The sequence below is a fragment of the Homo sapiens genome, chromosome 10 (genome assembly GCF_000001405.40).
Source record: "Homo sapiens chromosome 10, GRCh38.p14 Primary Assembly".
NCBI classification, from domain to species: domain Eukaryota; kingdom Metazoa; phylum Chordata; class Mammalia; order Primates; family Hominidae; genus Homo; species Homo sapiens.
The window spans coordinates 85913210-85935162 of record NC_000010.11 but is presented as its reverse complement, the minus strand read 5'-3'; the positions used below and the strand labels follow the sequence as shown (position 1 = coordinate 85935162).

The 21953-nt window shown below is 45.7% G+C and overlaps 1 protein-coding gene across 1 annotated transcript in view; it reads left to right on the top strand.

Annotated features, from left to right (window-relative positions):
- GRID1 (glutamate ionotropic receptor delta type subunit 1) overlaps window positions 1-21953 on the top strand; it is a 767244-nt gene that overhangs the window by 431633 nt on the left and 313658 nt on the right. The window contains exon 5 of the mRNA NM_017551.3: window positions 18924-18977. Within this exon, the coding sequence (NP_060021.1) occupies window positions 18924-18977 (54 nt within the window). The remainder of the gene's footprint in view (window positions 1-18923; window positions 18978-21953) is intronic.

The window sequence follows — 21953 nt, the reverse complement described above, 5'->3', positions numbered from 1 at the left end:
AATAACTGAGACAATAGTACCCCTGATGAAGTGGCTACTGTAAGGATTCAGGGAAGTAATCTGTATAGAGCTGTTAGCCGGGACCCGTCATGGTCAGCATGTAATCAATATTAGATGCTTTTGCTCTTGACTTTGTGAAACTTACTTCTATGAAGTCTATACCTGGTCTTTTTTTCCATGACATGAACTTTCTTTAGAATTTATCTTTATGAAAATAACCAGAAAAGCTCTGGAGGCCTTAAAGTACCGAGGTGGCTTTATCCCAACCAAAGTCTACAGGACTTACTTGTGGGTGGGGATCAGTGCTTACTAACCTGCTCCTGAAGAGGCAGGAGGTCCCTACTCACCTCCTCCCTCCTGGAGCTGCCTGGCACTCAGGCCACGCCTGGCAGTGGCCCCAGCCAGCGTGACTGGCATCCTGTCTGCTTGTGGCTTCTCCTTGCCCTTTTCATACTAACTTCATTTTCTGCTCTAAAAGACATAGGTATTTTACAAAAAAAGGATTAGGAAAGAAGACAAATTAGGCACTTTTCATCATATTTGTACTGAAAGTGATGTGTAAAGTGGTTTTGTTGAGAACAACATATGATTTTTGTCCCAGAGCACTAAATGTGAATCTAGACTCTTAGAATATAGCCCAGACTCTGGCTCCAATCCACAGCTAGCCTGGAGGTGTGTCATTTTGATGAGCTATTTATCTTTGCTCTGTGTGTGTGTGTGTGTGTGTGTGTGTGTGTGTGTGTGTGTGTCCAATCTCTGCAGCTTAGGGTTCTTCCATTCCATATTTTGGGGCATACTTTGGGCACACTGGACTCAGAGTAACTTTTCTTTATACTTACGTTATTTTTGAGGGCAAGGAGATGTTTTGCTCTTTCTTGACTTCACAGGATTTCAATGACCTACTTCTTCCTTTAGGTCTACCCAAACCTCTCACTCTTTCAGCCCAGTACCTCCATGAAGCCATTCCTACTATTCCAGCTTGCTCTCACTTCTCCCGTCAGAGGTCCCTCCAGACAGCTTGCCCATCCACAGACTGCATGCACTATCTGTTCCTCCCTACATAACCCCACAGTGGAGCCCAATCTGATTGAGGAAAGAGACAGCATCAGTGGCTTCCCTTCTTGCCTGCAAATTCACCCTCACTGAGGACAGGGTACCTAGGAAACCCTCAGCCTATATTTATGTTGAAGGAGCTCAGATCTCCTGTTCTGTACATTTTTAAATCATTCATCCTTCTAGAAAGATGTGTTGATCAAAGTGAGCCAGTATGTTTGAACTATTTCTTTGAGCAGACTATTATAAATCTCCAGCCCTCATGCACATCCTGTTGATATAATGTCAATCCCGAGGTTACTGATGGTTCCGCACCTCTTCTTTCTTTGGATTGCTTGATGTATGTTCATATAAATGGGCTGTGGAATGAAGTTGTAGGATAAGCATTTGACATTCTTCCCTTCTAGAAGTGATAAATCGAGCCTGCGCCCAAAATGGACTTGTGGGCTTGATCAAGAATTCTCTATGAAGTTGTGTCTGTTTCACTGCTTGATTCCAAAGAACACACAGCCCCAAACAGCCTCCAGGGCCTGAAGATTGGAGCAGAGAATTCCTTGTTTTATCCCAAAGTCTGGCCAGAAGGTCCACCTTTCCAAAGTGTATGAAAATAAGTTATGTCTTAGTCCATTTTGTGCTGCTATCACAGAATACCTGATATTAGGTAGTATATTGAAAAACTACCTGTTGGATACTATGTTTATTACCTGGGTGATGAAATAATCTGTATACCCGTCCCTCATAACATGCAATTTACTTATATAACAAGCCTGTGTATATACCCCTGAATCTAAAATAAGTTTTTTTTTTTTTTTTTTTTTTTTTTTAAAGAACAGAGATTTATTTCTTATACTTCTGGAGGCTGGGAAGTCCAAAGTTGAGGAGTCTGCATCATTGGCAAGGGCCTTTGTGCTGTGCCATCCCATGTCAGAAAGCAGGAGGGCAAGAGAGGGTAAGAGAGAGTGAGCAGGAGAGCAAGAGGGAGTCAAACTCACCCTTTTATAAGGAAGCCACTCTTGCAATGCTGACATTAATCTATACATGAGGATGGTGCCCCATGACACAAACACCTTCTATTAGACCCCACTCTCAACTCTGTTGCATTGGGAATTAAGTTTCTAACACATGTTTTTTTGGGGATACATTCGAACCATAGCAAGTTCTATATAAGAAGTTTTGGAGTTTGGGTTCTCAGCTAGTTTTCCAGGCTTGGTGCAGAAAATCGATATTCCTTTTATTTTGTTTTGCTGCCGATTTTCCCTCTTCTGTCAGCCCCTGCACAAGCCATGCTCATCCCTGCTGTGCCCTGGTCCAGCCACCTTGCATCAGTCAGTGTTCTTAGTCATCAACAACAGAAGCCTGCTCTAGTTAGCTTAAGGAAAAGGAGAATTTATTGACTTCTGATGGACTTTGGATTTATTGACTTCTAATTGATTAGACAAGTCTGATTGGTTGCCCATGTTTATCCCTGCTCTCCCCTAAACTATTCTAAAATGATGGCAAAGGGTTAAAGTGTTGCAAATCTACAAGATCAAAGAATTCATAAGAGGAGACAACAGTGGATAGGTGCTTGGGGCCAGTTTTTGGAAAATAGAAAGTGGATGGAGGGCTGGGCACAGTGGCTCATATTAGCACTTTGAGAGGTTGAGGCAGGAGCATCCCTGAGTCCAGAAGTTCGAGACCAGCCAGGGTAACATAATGAGACTCCATCTTTACAAAAAATTAAAAAGAAAATTAACCAGGCTTTGTAGCATGTGCCTGTAGTAATAGCTACTCAGGAGACTGAGGTGGGAGGATCACTTGAGCCCAGGATGTCAAGACTGCATTGAGCCAGGATTGTGCCACTGCACTCAGCCTGGGTGATAGAGGGAGACCCTGTCTCAATTTTTAAAAAAGTGGATGGAAGAAGGGTAACTGATGTAGCAGATGCAAGGATGTTACAGTGTTAGTGCTTGGTAATAAAGATACTATTGTGGGGTGAGCCTGGTTCTGCCGGCAGGCCTCTGAGAGCCTCAGCACCCAGAAACTCCAGAAAGCCCAGGTTAGGCAGGTGGTACAAACCAGGAAAAATTAAGCAGAGATTGACATGTTCGATAGTAGAACCTTTGGCTGCTTCTTCTGACCTGCTCCCAGGATGCCAGCGGCTGGAGTGCTCTCTTCTGGCAGGATATAATAGGAGTCTTTTCTGGAGAAACTGAAGGACTCTGGAGAAAATACCTCCAAATGCTGACATTGGGGAATCTTCCATTGCAAAGGACAGGAAGTCCCCCTATCCACAAGTCACACCCATACCCTTCAATGAGCTTCTTAATGCTTCATATTAAACATGAAAGGACAATTAAGGATCATTATGCATTTGAGGAATGTCTTTTATATGAAACAGAGAGTACAACACAAAGGGATACCAAAGGGATCCAGGACAAACTAAATAATGTAAGGAAAAAGAGAAAACTTCAAAAATGCTATTATTAGTCTTAAAGAGATTAAAAAATATTGCACCCTTAAGACATGAACAGGTTGCTATGAAAAAGAACAGGGAGCACAAAGCAGCAATTGAAGAGAAACATGATGACTGAAATTTTAAAAGTTCAATTGAAGTAAAGCAAAAAGGCAAAGAGGTATATAATGAGAGAGAAAAGTTGATAAAAATGCATGGCTCAATTTAGAAAGTTTAATATTCTAGTAGAAATTCTAGAGCAAGAACAGAAAAAATAAAGAAAAGGCAAATATCAGAGAAATAAGTAACAAAATATTTCAGAGTTAAAGGACATGTGTCTCCAGATTAAAAAGTCCTCCCAACCATGTAGCTCTTACTCAAAGTAGATGAAAAGAACAACCACACCAAGGCACTGGGTAGAGGGGTAGGGCAGGGGGAGAGGGAAGGAAGGAGGAGGAAAAGGAGAAGGAGGAAAGGGGAGGAGGGAGAGTAGGTGACATGAAAAGAACAGGAATCAAAGTGGCATTAGGATGCTTAAGAGTAACACCAGGCCTGGTGGCTCATGCCTGTAGTCTCAGCACTTTGGGAGGCTAAGGCCTGCAGATCACATGAGTTTGAGACCAGCCTGGGCAACATGGCAAAACCCAGTCTCTACAAAAAATGCAAAAATTAGGCCAGCATAGTGTTATACACCTGTAATCTCAGCTGCTTGGGAGACTGAGGTGAGAGATTGCTTGATCCCGGAGGTCAAGGCTGAAGTGAGTCATGATCGCACCACTGCACTCCAGTCTGGATGACAGAGTGAGACTCTGTCTAAAAAAATAAAATAGAAAAAGTAACATCCATACTAGAAGATACTGGAGAGGTGCTATTTCTGAGGAAGAATTAATATTCACATATTCTATACTAAGTGAAGCTATCAATCAATATGATAGCAAAGTTAAAAAAATTCATACATGGAAATACTCAAAAACTTACACACTGTGAATCTTTGCTTAAGAAGTTTCTGTGGTAGGATGGGCTTCAGAAAAAAAAAATAAAGTCAAAATACCAAAACAAGATAAAAGTAAGCATAATAGCAGTTACAGAGAATCCAACCAGCAGAGCAGAAAGGAAGTCTCATGACAGCCCCTGCTCATCCAACTGGAGACCAACTGGTCCACACAAGAGAAGGGAGAGAGCTGGAATGGGCTCTCTCCAGGGCTTAAGGAAATGGAAAGCTTATTTTGTTGCATTGAGCATTTGGAAAAGTACATTATATTATAAATATAATATAATATATAACTACAAATAAATAACTATAAATATAAATAAAACAATTTTGTAGTTATAAATAACCACAAGTTATTTGTAGTTATAAATAACCGCAAGTTATTTGTAGTTATAAATAACCGCAAGTTATTTGTAGTTATAAATAACCGCAAGTTATTTGTAGTTAAAAATAACCGCAAGTTATTTGTAGTTAAAAATAACCGCAAGTTATTTGTAGTTATAAATAACCGCAAGTTATTTGTAGTTATAAATAACCGCAAGTTATTTGTAGTTATAAATAACTACAAGTCAGAGCAATTGTTAATGCAAAAAAGCAAAAGTTGTATAAGCAAGGAAATAATATAATCATAGTCTACTATTTGGCTTAGTAGTGAATAGTATCATAACCATAATGGAGTCAATACATTTGATTTAATTTACAAATTGTGATACAGGTAGATTGGAAATACTGGGAAGGGAAATGAAAGGATGAGAGGATTAAGAGACCTAAGTCCTCTCTGCAGTATCAGGAACATAATAGATAGTGCTAAAGTTGATCAACCAAGTATAGCAGTGTGAACATGATTAAATATGATTAAGAAATATGGAAGTAAATCCCAAAGAAACAGATGAAAGAGTTATAAGTGTTTGCCTCTGGGGAGCAGGACTGGGAGTGGCATTAGGACCAGGGACTGCCATTTGTCAATAGAAGGCTTTTAATTCTGCCTTTTAAAAATTAAGATTTAGTATAGAATAATAGGCTTAGAAACTATTGTCTGTAATTGTAACATTGTGCTTTGAAATTACTCAGTTTATTCTCCCTTTTAAAACATTTGATTGTACCCTTATACGGCACAAGGCTCTTGCCAGTTTTTGATATTTAAATTTTAAAAATAAATATTATCTTCCCTATTGTTTGTATAAAGTTTTAGAATGGAGTTAATAAGAAATAAAAGTAATTTATTCAAATGACACTGGTCAACTCACAGAGGTGGGCTGAATGCTGGAGAACTAGGCCCAGAAAGCCATGGGAGGCTGGATGGAACAGATGTTGCTGAGGTTACCCTGGGTCAGTCTGGATAAGACACCTTCGGTGGACCCCAACACTGCTGTTCTCGTGGGGAGTGAGTTAAACCTTTGAGTCACTATCTCAAGATTCAAGGGGATCTGCTGTGCTAAGCCTAGGTCCTGTGCTGGCCTTGCACACAATGGGCATCTCCACACACCAAAGACTCTCTGATATGGGGTAGACAAAATCCTACAACTGTTTCTCACACACCCCAATGTGGGACACCCTTTCCTTTTCTCCCAAACCACTGGATTCCTCAAACTATTGGGAACCTGCCCCCATAGCATTTTCGAACATATTGAGACCCAAGCATCAGTCTTGTCTATCTATCTCCCAGACTTTGCAGATGAAAAAACAGTGAAATCCAAGGAGTTTAAAAGCAAAAGAGGAAAAGCAAGAACTAGGTTTGGAGTCCTCTTCACATATATTTCCCTGGTTGATCAAACAGGGTACTAGTCTGCTAAAGTTTACCTTTGCTCACGATCTAAGGTGAAGAGGGTAATGTTGGAAGACAAGAAGAGGTTCCAAAATATTCTGAATGGTTTGTGTAGAGCAGTGAACTGATTCCAGTAACATGACATTTACAAGGATAAAGATGAAGGCTTCCAGTGAGGCCTGGGAACCCCCTGAACCAGTACAGGGAATGTAGGTGTATGTTTGTGTGTATAACTCATTATTTTAAAAATACATCCCTGGGGCTTGAAAGTGGGGCAGCTGGATGTGAGCTGTGCTGTCCCCAGGAATGTGAGGGCTCCGCAATAGTGAATCAGTCGTGGTGCAAGGGGGAAAGGGAGCTTCCTGTCGTGCCACTTTTGGCCCAGCTCCCAGCCTTCACAGGTCACCAGTTCTGCAGCTGGAGTGACTTGGTGTCTGCAGGCCAAGCCTGCCAGTGCCGATTCCCACACTGGAGGACGGGGACTGTGCAGGCTGCCTTGCTGCTGCATAATCTGCCTTATCCTTGCAGACCTTTCCCTTTTGCCTGAGTGAAGCCCTTGCCCTATCCCTGTCCGCTCCTGTGATTACTCATCTCTCCCAAACTTTATGTATTTATGTAAGTGTTTTAGAGATGCAATCTTGCTATATTGCCCAGGCTGGTCTCAAGCTCCCAGCCCTAAACGATCCTCCGCCTCTTTCTCCAGAGCAGCTGGATCACAGGTGTGAGCCACCACACCTGGTCTCTCCCAAACTGTTAAGATTGTCCTCTCCAACTTCCTGCTGCCTGAGGGAGTTTAGTGGGATGAATCATCATCTTCCTCATTGAGCCTATCCAGCATCTGTCTTTATGCAGCTGCATCTGGAAGTCACATCAGGTTCCTTTTTCTCCTTGTACCTTACTCAGTTTTCAACCTATGACTCCATCCCATCAATGTTTTCTTTCTAAACGCTTTAAGCTCCATCCTTTTCTTCCTGGGCCAATGCCCCATACCCTGCTGTCGTCCTCATTGCCTCTTTTCTGGACTATTGTAACTACTTTTCAGCAAATTTTTAAAATGCTCTCGCTTGTGAAATTCACCTCCACATGGCCAGGCTGGCCTATCTGGAATCCAGATCTGACCATACTCTTCCATCCTAACTTCCTTCCATGGATGCCCAAGTCTGCATCTCCATTTACCTGATTCTGTTCCTGTTGTAACCTCAGTGTCCTGTGAAATATTGATGTGTTTCTCGAACAAAGAAAGTGAATATTCTGGGGAGATTCGTTTGAAAAATAAACACCGGGTATAGCCAATTTTGACAAGTTTCTGGGAAAAGAGGACTTGTTTGTTTAGTATGCTTTGTCATTCTCAAGCTGGAGATATAAGTGCAGTATATCTCCAACTTTCCCACAGATTTTTTTTTTTTTTTACAAGAAACTTTACATCTTCTAAGACCCTCACATCCTGTGGAACACAATCTGGAAACTCGCAGCTTATGGGGTAAAAGCCAGGCTCTGCTGCCTGGCAGAAGACCCTGTTGACTGGGACCTGGTAGTGTTTCAGGTAATAACTCATGCCTCATGCCACTGATCCTCCCACCTCGGGTATTAAGCCATGGGGTGACCAACAGTGGAGATGCATCATGTGCACATTTAACTCACAGTCCATTGGTTCTCAGGCCAGATGATGCCACATCTGCCTCAACAGGCAGTCGGCATAGTGAAGCCTGACATAGTTTGTGTGCCAGGACCTGCTGGGGAGAGTGCATGCATGGTCTAGAGGGCTTCTCACGTGGTCAGCTTGCCCACACACTTCCTGTCCTAACTTGCAAGGCAGGAAGAGTTTCCAAAGTGGTCTGAGCATTTGAATTAGAGCAGTGGCCTGAGAGACCAGGGCTAGGTAAGTGGGTGATGATTTAGTTAATACACTCAGGGAAGAAAATGAAGCTAATTGAGGGCTGTAGAGAAATAGTGATTGATAAAGGTTAGGGGAACAGATACAGGGTTCTTTACACAAATGATGTTTTCTGTACCATTTCATATCCATGAATTAAGAAATCTTTATGGCTAATTTTGTCTAATTGATTTTTGCCTCATCTGGTAACTTTAGATTCAAATCCTCACTCACACGATGTGAGGATGTGGCTCCACCACAGTCCCTACAAATCGAATGCCCTTTCACACCTCCAGGCTTCTGCACACTGTCTCCTTAGAAGCCCTGTATCACAGTTTTCTCTCTAAGCCATGTCATTCTGTGGGTGGGGCCTTTTCAGGTGCTTTGTGCTGGCAATGGGGTGGGCGTTGGGCAGGTGGGCCACACCCCTGAGGACTAAGAGCAGGCATCTTTGGTTTCTGATTCTGTTTCTACCTTCTATAAGGGCCAAATGCAATTTCCTGGCTTACTGTGAGGTCCCCAAGAGCTTTGGGGAAAAACTAAGCTCTTGGCCATTCCCAGGTCTGGGACCCAACTGCTTGGGGGCTTTGTGCTTGGAGAGGGGCTGTCTTAAAGTGAAGCAAAATTTACATTGTGGATGCTAAAAATAGTTTCCTTCTCCCCACACTTTTATTGCTGAATTTGCAATATCCTCTCTTCCTTACTCCCTAAGACCTCAGAGCCCCCCGTGGTCTCTCAGTCACTTTCTGTGGAGCCAGAGTCCCAAATTGAGTGCCCAGGTGGCCGAGGTAAGAGGTAAACAATCGTTTATGCCCCAGCTGTCGCACCATCCACCTCTTCTCCCCCAGTGTACTGGCCACCTCCCCTAGTTTTCCCGTGTCACAAATCCAGAGACTTGTTTCCTGACAGTTTCTGGGCCAGGAGTTCCTCCCTAGCACCATGAGGTAGAAGAAGCTTATATCTCCAGAACTAAAAAGCAGATATTTTTCTTTCTATTCCATTCTCCAAAAAGTCAGGCTCGTAAAAAAGAATACAAATTATACTCAGCAGCTCTTATCAGCTTGGTAAAGAATTGCTACTTTCAACTTTATTGCCTTAAGAAGAATTCACATGTTTCCATCTTTTAAAAATGATTTGGGTTGAGGGAAGGAATTTGATTCATGTGCAGAAGTGGCTTGCATGAGCATGATTTGAAGGGGTCACAGCATTAACCTTGAGCGCTAATGCTTTAATTGAGCAGCTGGGAAGGTGTAGCTATTCTCCCAGCGGATGTACCCGCTCTGGGTCAGGAGCTCTGAGACTGACAGCTGCACTGGGAGGGAGGGACTCTCCTGTCCAAAATGGCTCCACACCCTCCTTCAGCAGTATCTGGTGCTGTGGTCCCTGGAGTTGGTCTTTGGATGCAGGCAGCAGCTTCTCAAGCTCCAGTATGAGGGAGGAGAAAACATTTCTAATCAGTTTTGGACTTTGCTTGTATTTGAAAATCACCTGAAGCTGGAGCTGAACAGCAGAGTGTATGAGAAATGGCTCAACACAGCCACCTGCCACCCCAGGGCCGTGTCCCCTGCCCTCAGGGACCGAGTCATGAGATTGTTCACAGTGCACACTGCAGAGGCTGGTGGCTGCCCCCGCCAAACCAGGGTGGGCATAAATAATCTCAGAAGTGATTTGTTCCACTGTACATCCAGGTCCTCTAAAGAAGTTGTGTGACAGCATCCATGTGGCCAAGGGCCTGAATGTCTTGCTCCTCTGTGAGACAAGATCGGATAGAAAAGCTGGGCTCCGTTGCCTCCCATCAGGACTTAGCCTGAATGCCTGTAAGAACAAGAACATGGGGGGCCTTATTTGGTTTCTGTGCCCTCCAGGTGGCAGGGAAATTATGGACCATTGATTAAAATCCAAGTATCCATTGGCCAATACTCATTGGCGCCTCCTGGCTTCACTTCTCCAAGTTGATCTTATTAAACAGATCGTGCCTGTGAGCAGGCTCCATTTCATTTTTCTGCTGATATTAACGTTTCCTTATAAATTGTCCACATGTAGCATATTCTCACTTTTTATTATAGTAAATTGCACTCCCTGCACAGCCCTGGAAGCTGCCTCTATTTCATCTGAAGGATCCACAAATGATCTGTAATGAATCTTCATTCCCCCGGGGCTGTGAGCGGGCGCTTCTGCCATCCACATGAACAGGGAAGGCAGTTCAGACTGGCTGTCGAGCTCAGACTTGGTCAACAAGAAGGACTGAGGCCAGGGAGGTCTAATGATTTACTAGAAATTGTTCACATCTATCAGAATTTTACATGAATTTAGTCAATTATTCTTTCTTTCTTTCTTGTTTTTCCATAGCAACATAATAGTTTTTCAGAGATCTGAGCCAATGTCAAAAAAGTCTAATGCTGAACACTCTCTCTTCCAGTGAACTCTCTTTCAGTAATATCTTTTTAAATGTCATTGACCAAACTAGTCCAGAACTTACTATGTTGTTAGGCATGATATATGGGAACTAGCATCAGGAGGTTCAACGCTCAGTACAAATGAAGAAACAATTGTATCCTGGAGGAAAAGCTCTAGAATTTGATCATGTTTCCATCACCTCCTAAAGGTCAGGGCATCTTGCATTCCTCCACTTTAAGTTCACTTTGTTTCTTTCTCAGATCCTCTCAGATGTGTAGAAAGGGGGTGTTAATTGCAAATACAGGCAGCACTAACTTTGCATGGCACAATGTTAACCAAAAATCAAGTGTATAATGAAGTTCGTGCAAAGTGAGGACACTAGTTCCATATGCATGGGTTTTGTTTACCAGAGTACCATGCACCATGCAAAGCAAAGGCCACCTGTACATTCATATTCTTTTTAACTGTAGTAAGGTTTCTGTTTATGCTCCTGGCCTTCCTTCTACTCAGCTCTGGAAATGTGAATCACCCATTCATTCATTCTGTAGGCACATTTTGAAGTTCACTGTCTGCCAGGTGCTGTGTCCCACAAGTGGCTTCGTGGTAATTAGACCAGGCTTTGGCCTCCAGGAGCTCACTTCCTAGTGAGGGACTAGAGGCTACTCCCCATATGCAAAAAAATCCTTTGACAACCAGAGGTGCATGTGATCCAGGAATTTTGAAAGGGGGTGACAGGAAACTCTGGAAACCAGGATCAGATTTTGCAGAAGGCCCTGTAGCTCTCCAGGCCCCCACTATCCAGTCACCACTATCACTGTCGCCTGAATCACCTTCTGGCTTAGCTGTTGTTTTTGCACCAAACACCTATGAAACATGCAGAGATTGAGTTTCGTCTTTTCTTGGTGCCCAAGTCAGTGGAACACGGTAGAAACCATATGGGTTTTGCATTGGAAAGGCCTGGTTACACTGACTTTCTGGGAGACTTTGGGAAAATCACTTCATCCTTCTGAGTCTTGGTTTTTCCATTTGTAGGCTGCAGCTCAGTAGCCTCTTTCAGTAGGCCATTGTGAGGACTCAGGGAGGGATCGTGTGTAGAGGGCTTAGCTCAGGGTCTGGGCTGGATGAGGTGTTCTGTAAATGCCAGCGATTGCCCCCAGCCTGCAACCAGCCTTCCCCTCCAGCCTTTCCCAGCCAGTGCCTTCCCTGAACTCCTAAGAGGCAGGTTCAGCTTTCTTCCAGGAAAACAGCCCTCTCAGCCTCCCCCAGAGCTGTGGTTTAGTGCTTCACAGGGTAAATTCTGATACAGCTTTCTCAGATGGCTTTCCTAGAGCTGGGAGTGATTGCCTTGTCTCCACCATCCTTCAGTGACCTGAGCCCATGCACTCCCCCATGTTCAACTGCTTTTCCCTCTGCCCAGATGGGGTGTTTCCTGTTCCTGCCAAGGGTGGGGGCCTTGGACTTCAAGGATCCTCGAGCAAAGAGATGGGTGAGATGGGAACAGATGACCATCAAGGAGGGGCTGGCTCCTGGGAAAGGCTTGGGACAAAATACTGGAAAAGAGACCTTCTGGGATCCAAGATTCCCCAGTGGGATCTAAGAATAAGGATGGAGCCAGAATTAGGAGTCTTGGGAGATGAAGAGAACTTCAGGGCAGTTTTCTGGTGAAACAAAGACCAAAGAGGCTCCAGAGACAAGGCTGGGGCAAGGAGAAGCAGCTGAGTCAGCATCTTGGGACGTTTTTCCAAGCAGGCAGGCCCCCAGGAGACACAGGGTGGCTGAGAAAGTTCTGTGATAACCGCTCTTTAGGGGTTTCCTCATGCTTCCCGGCATAACTTCTGAAAACTCGGGCCTCATGGTGTCTGCTTTGCTGATTTCCTTTTAAACAGGCTCTTCAAATAATCCATCCTCCTGCAGCTAGCTACACCCCTTCCTTGCAAATGGAGGGGCGTTGCGCTCCTGCATGCTTTGGAGGGGTGACATTGCACAGAGAGCATTGTTCCTAAATGACATGTTGTTGCAAAGGCAGCGGTGGGCCTTTAACGTGAGCTCAATATCTGTCCTTGGGAAAGTGCCAGGCCCTGGGCTTCACGGGGGGAATGTTCCCAAATGTTAGAGTTGGGGTTTTAAAAAGATGCTAATTGCTGACAAGCTTTCATTATCTCAGGCTCCCAGTGTTGGGGGGATGCCTAGATAAGTGGTCAACAATTAACACATACATAAATAATTGGTGGCATTTGCACTTTGTAAAATAAATCCTCAGGGATGTGTTTGGAAGGCTTCCATGTGGAGGTTTTTTCCACTCCATTTACTATTCCTTTAGGCCAAGATAAAGAGAAACAGTCTCACACTTAAGAAATGCAAGTGGAATAATGGTTTCAGGCTTATGAGAACAAGTTAACCTGGAGAAGGACAGCACCGTGACTTATAATGGTGTTTTCTCAGATATGAGAAAAAAGACCATTTTGTTCCCATTGTTACGGGGCCAGGTTCAGACCCAAAAACTTTTTCAGACAGTTATCTGGGGCTTTCAGAGAGCAGCATGACCAAAGGAAAGAACACAGGCTTTGGAGACAGTTGGGCCGTAGTTCAAATCTAACCTCTGCTGAATACTGGCTAAGGGACCTTCTGCAAGATACGAGTCTAGATTGAGGTATCAGTTCCCCATCTGTGAAGCAGGGATAAGAACACTGCATGGCTTGTTAAGTTGTTGGGAGTAAATGAGGTGTGTGGGTTGTAAAGCAGAGGAGATGTTGTATTGAAGTATCTTGGGGGGTGGTTAATAAAAGCAAGCTCTCGTCGCCCTTGGAAATGGCTCCAACTTAGTCTTGAGTGAAAAGCCAAGGACACAGAGGAAGGGGACCCAGACTGGAGATGCCTCCTCCAATGCGCTCAGCCTCACTGTCTTCTCTACTTCCTTCCAGGCTCTTGGATATTAGAACCAATCCTCACCACCATATGGTCCAGGGGCAGCTGTCAGCTCTCCCCAGCACCAGTCTAGGAGAGCTGCCTCCACCCTTGACATTCTTGTCAGTGCTCAGGGACTCCTTTCTGTGCAGAGTCTGTTTGGAAGCTGGGAGCCAGTACGTGGCCCACATCTATTTCCCTATGAAAATCGTGAGATCAGGGTGGCCAGGGCAGGACCCAAATGTCCTCTGGCCCTCAGTGGGCCTGCAGAATGGCCTGTTGGTGTCCTGTGTCACTTACAACTCAGCTCTTGGGTGTCACTGGGAAAAGGCACCTGAGGTTCAGATTGGGGCTGTTGCTCTCGAGCAGGGAGACACATTCCCTTCCACAGTCGGCTCCCCAGACGTGGGAAGAACAGCTGCCTTCGGCCTTCTTTAGCTGGAGTTTGCCTATAACAGCACACTTTTCTTTCCAGAGGGTGGAATGTGGGTGTCAAGATGTGGATATACACATAAGTCAACACACGTGTGGACACTCAGCTGTGCCTTTTACCCCTGGCTGACTGCACCCAGCCTCGCAGCTGTCTCATGTGCCAGTACCACCATCAGCATCTGCTGTCTCCTCCATTCAAAAGGGGCTAGAAGAGAAGTCAGCTGGATGCTTTGCAACTTCTTACATCCTTAATTCTTCTTCTGAAGTTCTGTGTTTGCCAATGTATCATGGCCACAGGAGCCAGGCAGATGGGCCCAGTGGTTTGGCTAGGTCTCGTGGGATTCACAGCAATTTAGAGGGGTGCAGGCATCTGGCCACCGCAGCAATTCCTTTGGGCTTATTGGGCCCTAGTTCCCAGCTCCCACGGGGTTTGTGTCCCTCAGCCACAGTGTCTAGCTTCAGGAGAGAAGTCTAACTGCAGACAGCAGGGAACCAGCCACCCCACCTGCTGGGAGCCCACCCTGAGCAGAAGGCCGGCCCCCCTTCCCTCCCCGCCCACAGGATACAGGGGCTGCCCTTTGCTTGTCTGACCGGGTCATCACTTCTGTGCTGATGCCCACAGCATTATGCAGCTCGATCCACACTGTGGCCAAGATGGGAGGGAAACACCACGTCCTGCTGCCTTGAAGGGGAGCACATGGAGGTGGTGGTGCCCACCACTTTGCAAAGCTGTATTGATTGTTGGTCTTTTTGCCCTGGTGTATCCATGATGGCAGAGATGAGGCTCCTGGTCCACTCCCCTACCCAGGAGAATTAGGATGGCCTGTTGGGGTTGGGTGGGCTCTGTCTGTTGAATGAAGGAAGGAAGGAATGAGGGATTATGCACGTGTACTTCAAGAGACCATCGAATCAAGAGCAGGCTGGAGACTCCAGTAGAAGGAACGGGAGGAACTTTGCGCTGACTGATCATCTTTAGTGAGAGCCTTCCTGGGCTGGAAGTGTCACCTGTAATTTCATTTGACTCTCACAATAACCCTAAGTGGGAGGTGTTTGTCTCAAGTTGACTTCGCAGAAGTAGACTTGGAGATGAATTTTTGTGTGTGACAATGATTTATTAAAAATTATGGGGACTTAAAAAAAGAAAGACAGCAGGGAAGTGGGGACTTGGAACAGGAACATAAAGGAAGCCAAACAAGGTGATTTTGGCTCCATCCTGAAAAGCTGAGATCACACTCTGGAGAAGTCCCCAGTAGGGAGCAAGGCAGCTGGGATTTGTTTTCGTGGCACTCTGGGCCCCTGGTTAGGGGTGTGCATTCCAAGGCACCGTGAGTGCCAAGCAGGGTTCAGGCAGCCTGAATTGGGGGTGTTGGCTGGTGTTGGGAGTGAGCAAACATGCTGAGTCAGTGTAATAAAAAATGCTAACAGGATTCACAGGGACTGTGGGCAGAGCCCCCTGTAGCACTGTTGGTATTCAAAAGCCTTATGGGTGTGGAAACTGCAGCTCAGAGAAGTGAAAAGGCTCACCCAGGAGCACTCAGCCAGGAAGTGGCAGAACTGGGATTCCAATGTACTCTGCCTGCCTGCTGGAACTCTCTATAGTGTTCTCACTCTGCAGACGAAAGGGAGGACTTGCCTCCACCTGCTGCAGTTGTAGCTGGAGAGGAAAAGGAAAAGGGCAGCACTTAGAAGGGGAATTAATGGTGCTGGGAGGGACATTGCCCACTGGGGTGTGAGCATTTAGGGCTCTTCCCACAGAGCTGGCAGCCCTCCAGTAATTGCTGGAGTGGCGCGGGTTGATGGGGGACAGGGGGAGGCAGGCAGTGTTCCTGCTAAATCTGCTGTAGCTTCTCCTTCTCTCCATCTATCTCAGCCTCTGTGCGAGTGGCACCCTCTGGAAAAGGCTGCAGAAAAGCACTATTTATCTCCATGTGGGGAAAAGAGGCTTAACAAATTAGCTGATGCTTAATTGGTGAGGAAAAGTAGGACAGAAAAGTTGACCAGTTGTCCTGTGGGGTTTTCTGATCAATTGTCTCCACCAATATCTTCCCTGCATGGGTCTGATACTAGGTGGAAGTACTTCTTAGGGTGGCCAAGGCTCCCACCTGCTCCCTGGGGTCTCCCAGCAACTGAGTCAGGTTGTCTGCACTGCTGGCTTCTTCCAGGACAAGCAGAGAACCTCTCACCTGCACAGGTATACCCAGACCTTCAGATTCACAGAACTACATATTCTGAAGCAGGGCTCTCAGCCCCTGAAGCCAAGAGGCAGGGTCAGAGCTCTGAAACAGCACAGGACCTCAGACACAGCACAATTACCAGTGAATTAGGATCCCTAGCAGTGGGGCCTGGGGACCCTCTTTTTTAAAGCTCCCTAGGAGGTTCTTAAACACAGCCGGACTGGAGAATCATTGCTGAAGAATGTCAGTGCATGATAAAGCTTTACCTCTCACAAATGGTCAACCTTCTTAGAAAACACGGCACTGTAAAGAGAGCACTGCTCACCTTCTGCTCAGGCACTTCCTGGGATGGGACGTCGCTACTCCTGAGGCACCCCATTTCATCTTGAATGACTTGGAAAGTCAGAAAGTTGTCTCCTATATTGAATTGATATCTGCCTCCCTGATTATGGGAGCCATTGGCTGTAGGTCAACACTCAGAGGATGCATAGAGCAATTCCAATCTCTCTTGCACATGACAATTTAAAGACACCTATATTGTCCCACCTGTAAGCATCCCTGATCACTTTAACTGTCCCTCTCCATGACTGGGCTATAGTGTGCATTGTCCTTCATCAAGTGGGGTGACCTGGTTAGGTCAACCCTTCAAGGGGTGGAACAAACTCCTCCCACACCCTCCTTTCCATGAGTTGAGCTAGAGCCCAGCGATGTGCTTTTACATACCTTGGGAGACGGGAAGGGGCAAGTGTTATCTGTTCCTTTTACGAAGGAACAGAGACCAGAGTGGTTAAGTGACAGCTAGGTGGAGGCAGTCCCCTTTGGTTTTTCCTCAAGAGTGTTGCTTTCAAACTTCATTTCCCCATTTGCCTTTTTGCTCCTGGAAACTGAGTGTAGGACTTTGAGTTTGGTCTTGCTAAACCACAAGTCTTTAGATTCAGTTCAGTGTTCCAGCCACTGAGATGTTATGACATCCTCCAGATTTGCATCTGTGCACATTTGATAAGAGTATTGCCAGTGTCTTCCACATGAGTGTCAAGGAAATGTTGAATTGTTGGGAATCGAGGTGAGCTAGAGCCCAGCGATGCGCTCAGAGCATTCTCAGCCCACCCTGTCTCCACTTCTCCCTCCACCTCTTCATCAGTGCTTCCAGGCTTTTGAAGACCTCCCTGAAAGTCTGCATGTTGACAGGAGAGAGGCTCTGGATGGGGTGGCTGAGACTCCACGCTGAAGTGTCCTCCTTTCTCTATCCTGACTGAAGATTCCTTTGAGCTCTGGCTCTTTAGCCCTTGCAGCTTCTCTGGAGAGAGCCCGGTTAACTGAGTTTGTAGAAAGGGGAGGAAAGTGTCTTCAGGATACAGCCTTGTAGCATACCCAGGTACATGGCTTAGCATCCCTTGCAGCCTCTTTTCTTTCCAGTGCAAGAGAGATGCACCCTGTGCATGACAGTTTGCAGGCTGCAGCACCATGCAGACCTAGGGTCATTTGTGGGGTCGTTGGCACAGGCCCCGACACCTCCATGCCTCATTTGTTGGGAGTGAGTCAGATCTCTGTGTACTGATGAGGAAAGATATTTGTGTTACACTGATAAATCAAAAACTAGAGTCTTAACTGGATATGTATTTCATGGTCTGATTTTAATGAAAACACTTGTCTGATATCTATTTGTAGCTATTTACTTGCGGAGGTAACTGTAAAATCTTCTAGAAGGTGACACCTCAAACAACATTTAGAGGGTAAATTTGGAGGGATAAAGGGGGAATTTTCACTATGTCAGCATATTTTTTTTAATGGGATGGGATTATGGGATGTTGAGCATTTTTATGTTTCTGCATTTTTTTTTTGATAAAAGGAATAATAAAATTACATTACAAACAAAAAAACAGGACTCCAATCTGATAGCTCTTGTCCAGGTTCATAGTCAGCCTGGCTCAGTGCCCAGGCTCAGCAAGCACTTGGCACCTGCTCACGGGATGTATTCATACAGGACATGCTTGGAAACCATCAGTCTCTTCCAATTCTTCCAATCTGTTGGCTTTTCAATTGAAGGAGAGGGAAAGCACTCATAAACACATACAGGAAACAAAATAATTAACTGAGTTCTGTCTGCCTTGGCCTTCCACTTCATTTGCATAATCAACAATGTTTGCTGAATACCTGCTGTGTGCTGGTTACAGCTATTGGGACACAGCTGTGACCTAGGAGATATGGCCTTTGACATAATGGCAGAGGAGATAGACAATAAGAAATATTCTAGCAGAGGAGACAGACAATAAGAAATAAGTAAACTGATAGCCATTCAAGCACAAAGATGGCAAGTGCCATAAAGAAACAGAACAAAACACTAATAGAGAGTTACGGGATGGGGCTACGGCCCAGGAGCTACAAAGAGCTTTGTTCTATGGATCCTAAAGAACTGAAGGAAACTCGGAGCCCCAGAGCTGCTGTGAGCTGCTGTCTTCCTGAATGTCACTCAGTACAGCTGGACTAGACAAGCCCCCATAAATCCCTCGTTCCAGTTTCCTGATTCTGTAGCCTGGAGTAATGATAACACTCATCCCCTAAGCGCCCCTGCAGAAAGGTGTTTGCAGGCATTCCTAGGGAAGGGGGGCTGTGCCTGTGCCTGTGCCTGTGACCCTGTGCTGCCTGCAGGAACCCAAGCGTCTAATCTTGCTCTGGGCTGGTGCAGGAGTGCGTGGAGGGAGAGCAGGAAATCAGATGTCTGTGTTCAGATGAAGCTTCTTGCAGCTAAGGCAGCCAGAGCAGGCCCCAGGGGGATGGCATGTTTTGTGAGGAAAATATTCTCCAAGAACAATGTTTATAAAACTCTGTCTCGGCAATCATCCTGTGTCTGCCAGCTTCTGTCTTGCTTCTGTTCATGTTCGTTCTTTTTCTCTCTGCAGGCCGTGGAGACCAACCTGGCTTCCAAGGACAGCCACTGGGTCTTTGTGAATGAGGTAAGGGCTCTAGAAATGTGATGAGCACGGCCTGGACTGAGCCCCTAGCCCCTTGTAAAGCTCAGTGTGATTCTTTTCAGTTCAATTCTGACTTAGGGGGCTGTTGTGAATCCTGGGGCTCCACCTAGCCCAGGCAAAAACTCAAAGAGTTGAACTTGACCTAGCAGGGTGCTCACCTGGCAGGTGGGAACGAGAGAAAGAATCCTGACCTGGGTCCATGAGGAAGTCAAAAGTCAGAGGGCAGTGGTGGCAGGGATGAGGTGTGCTAGGTGAGGTGAGGCAGCCAGTGGGAGCCAGGGGCTGGAGCAATTAGGGCAGGTCATGAATTGGGATGCAGAGGGGGTGGGGCAAAGGAATGAGTAGGAGAGGAAGGCTGAATTTCATGCAAGATGGTAAGGGTGTGCATGAGTGTGAGCAAGAGTGTGTATGCAGGGTGTGCACATGCGTGCGAGAGTGTGAATCCAGGTGTGTGTGTGTATGTCTGTGTTTATGATGTGAGTGTGTATGTGTGTTTGTGTATGAGTTGTGTGGTGTGTAGGTGTGAGTGTGTGAACATGCATGTTCGTGGATGTGTGTGTGCAGGTGTGTGTATATGTGTGTGGATGTGTTTGAGTGTGTGACAGGTATGTGCATGCATGTGCAAGTGTATGTGTGTGTATATGTGTGTCTGTGTGTGTGTGCATGTATAAATGTATGTGTGAATATGTGTGTGATTGTGCATGTACAAGTGTGTATGTGTCTTTGTGTGTGAATTGAATGTGTTGAGTGTATGTACAGGGGTGTGCATGTGCAAATTTTATGTGTGCATGTGAGTGTGTATGTATGTATGAGTGTGTGTGCATGAGTGTGTATACGTGAGTTTGTGTATGTATATGTTTGGGTGTGTATGTATGAAAGTGCATATATCTGTATATGAGTTTGTGTGAATGCTGTGTGGGTTGTATGTGCATGTGTGTTTGTGTGTGCATGCGTGTGTGTAAGTATGTTTGTGTGTGCAACCAGTACGTGTAGGGATAAGTGTACCCATGTAAAGGGAGTAAATAGAAAGTCTCTCCCATGACTGACCATCCCACCAGTTTGGCCCCAGGGAGGAATGGCAACACCAGGGATCGTGGTGGCCTGGCCTGCTTTTCATTACTTGTACCCTGTCTGGCCCTGGCCTCCTCCACGCTGCAGGCATTGCATAAGAGTGGCCTGAAATCACACACTCTAGCTTTCCCAAAGAATCCCCTCTGCCCACATATCCTTTGAGGAGCACTACCGGGGTGGCCTGTGTGACCTCAGTGCACTATATTCACTAAAAGCTGACTCAGAATGTGTTCCTGGTGCAAGCTTTCATCATGGCTATGGCCTTCAGCTGCTCCTAAATTACTGATCAATTTCTAATGGCTTCATTCTGGAAGATGCAGGTTTATTATGTAGGTAATTCATTCTTTTATGATGTCTGTTTCCTCATTAGTTCTTTGCTAATATGGCTGAAATAGTCTTGGGTGGCTTATTTTAATAATTGTGCAGGTAGTATCAGATTGTAACTACTTGCAAAGTCCACTTTTCGTAGATTTTCCTCCATGAATTCACATCTTATTAGCTCCATGTCCACAGAGGGCAGCTGGGGACGTGCAGTAACCGTCCATTTACCGTGGGGTGCAGGTGGTTGTGCTGGTAATTAGAAGGGACATGACTGCCGCCTCCTGTTTTCAGAGCCTGTGAGAGACTGCCTTGATCCTTGAGAAGTTTGGATTCTCTGGGGTTTGCTGACTTCTCTGTGGCTCTTCATAGTCCAGTTTTCTTTGTTCCAAAGAAACGATGCATTCCATGTGGCCCTGAAGTCAAATGTCTGATGCTGGTTTTACTTTTTTGATGAATCCTCCAAACTGGATAGCCAGTGTTTCTCTGTTGCCAGTCTTCAAAAGAATTACTCCGTTTTTACATTCCTAACCTGTTTTCTTTTCTTTCTCCAAATCCCCACCCACCCTCAGGGGCCCCCTGTCTGTCCCTCTTGACTCACTCTTCAGGGCTGGCGTTAACTTCAGACTAACCAGTGTGCGGTGCCCCTAGGGCATTCCATACTGGTAGGCACATTGGCATTACTGGGGCAGCTGGAACCCAGGGTTTAGTGTCATCAGGAGGAGTCAGATATGGGGTATACCTGTTGGAGCCACACTGGAGCGGCTTCTACTGAGAGGATTGTGGTGTCTCACCATGGCCAGCAGTGTACCCTGTGCCAGCCCGGCAGTGCACATGGATGGTGTGAATATCTCTGAGCTGAGTGTGTCCTCCTCCAAATGTGAGGGGCCTCCAGGGAGCCTCATCTTCCTCCTTTCTTGGCTTCCTTTTCTATGAGGCAAGGGACAACATCTAATATTTCTTTTTTTATCTTTATTTTTTATTTTTTGAGACTGGAGTCTTGTTCTGTCACCCAGGCTGAAGTGCAGTGGTGTGATCTCAGCTCACTGCAACCTCTGCCTCCCGGGCCTCAAGCAATTCTCCTGCCTCAGCCTCCTGAGTAGCTGGGACTACAGGCGTGTGCCAGCTCACCCAGCTAATCTTTGTATTTTTAGTAGGGCGGGGTTTTATCATGTTGGCCAGGCTGGCCTCGAACTCCCGACCTCAAGTGATCTGCCCTCCTCAGCCTCCCAAAGTGCTGGGGATACAGGCGTGAGCCACCATGCCCAGCCAGCTAATATTTCTTAATCACCTACTATGTGCCAGGCACTTGTCAGTGCATTTGTTACCTTCTTAGTCCTCATCAACAGCCCTGTGTGGCGGTTGTCATTATCCTCATTTTGCAGATGGGAAAACAGAGTCTCCAGAGGTTAAATCACTTGTTCAAGGTCATGCAGCTATTAATGGTGTATCTGGGATCCTATTTGAGGACTGTCTGGCTCCAAATTTTTCCATCAAACAGTAGTTTCATGCACATGGCCTTGGCAAAGATCTATAACTCACAGTCAGTATCTGATTCAGTGAAGTCAG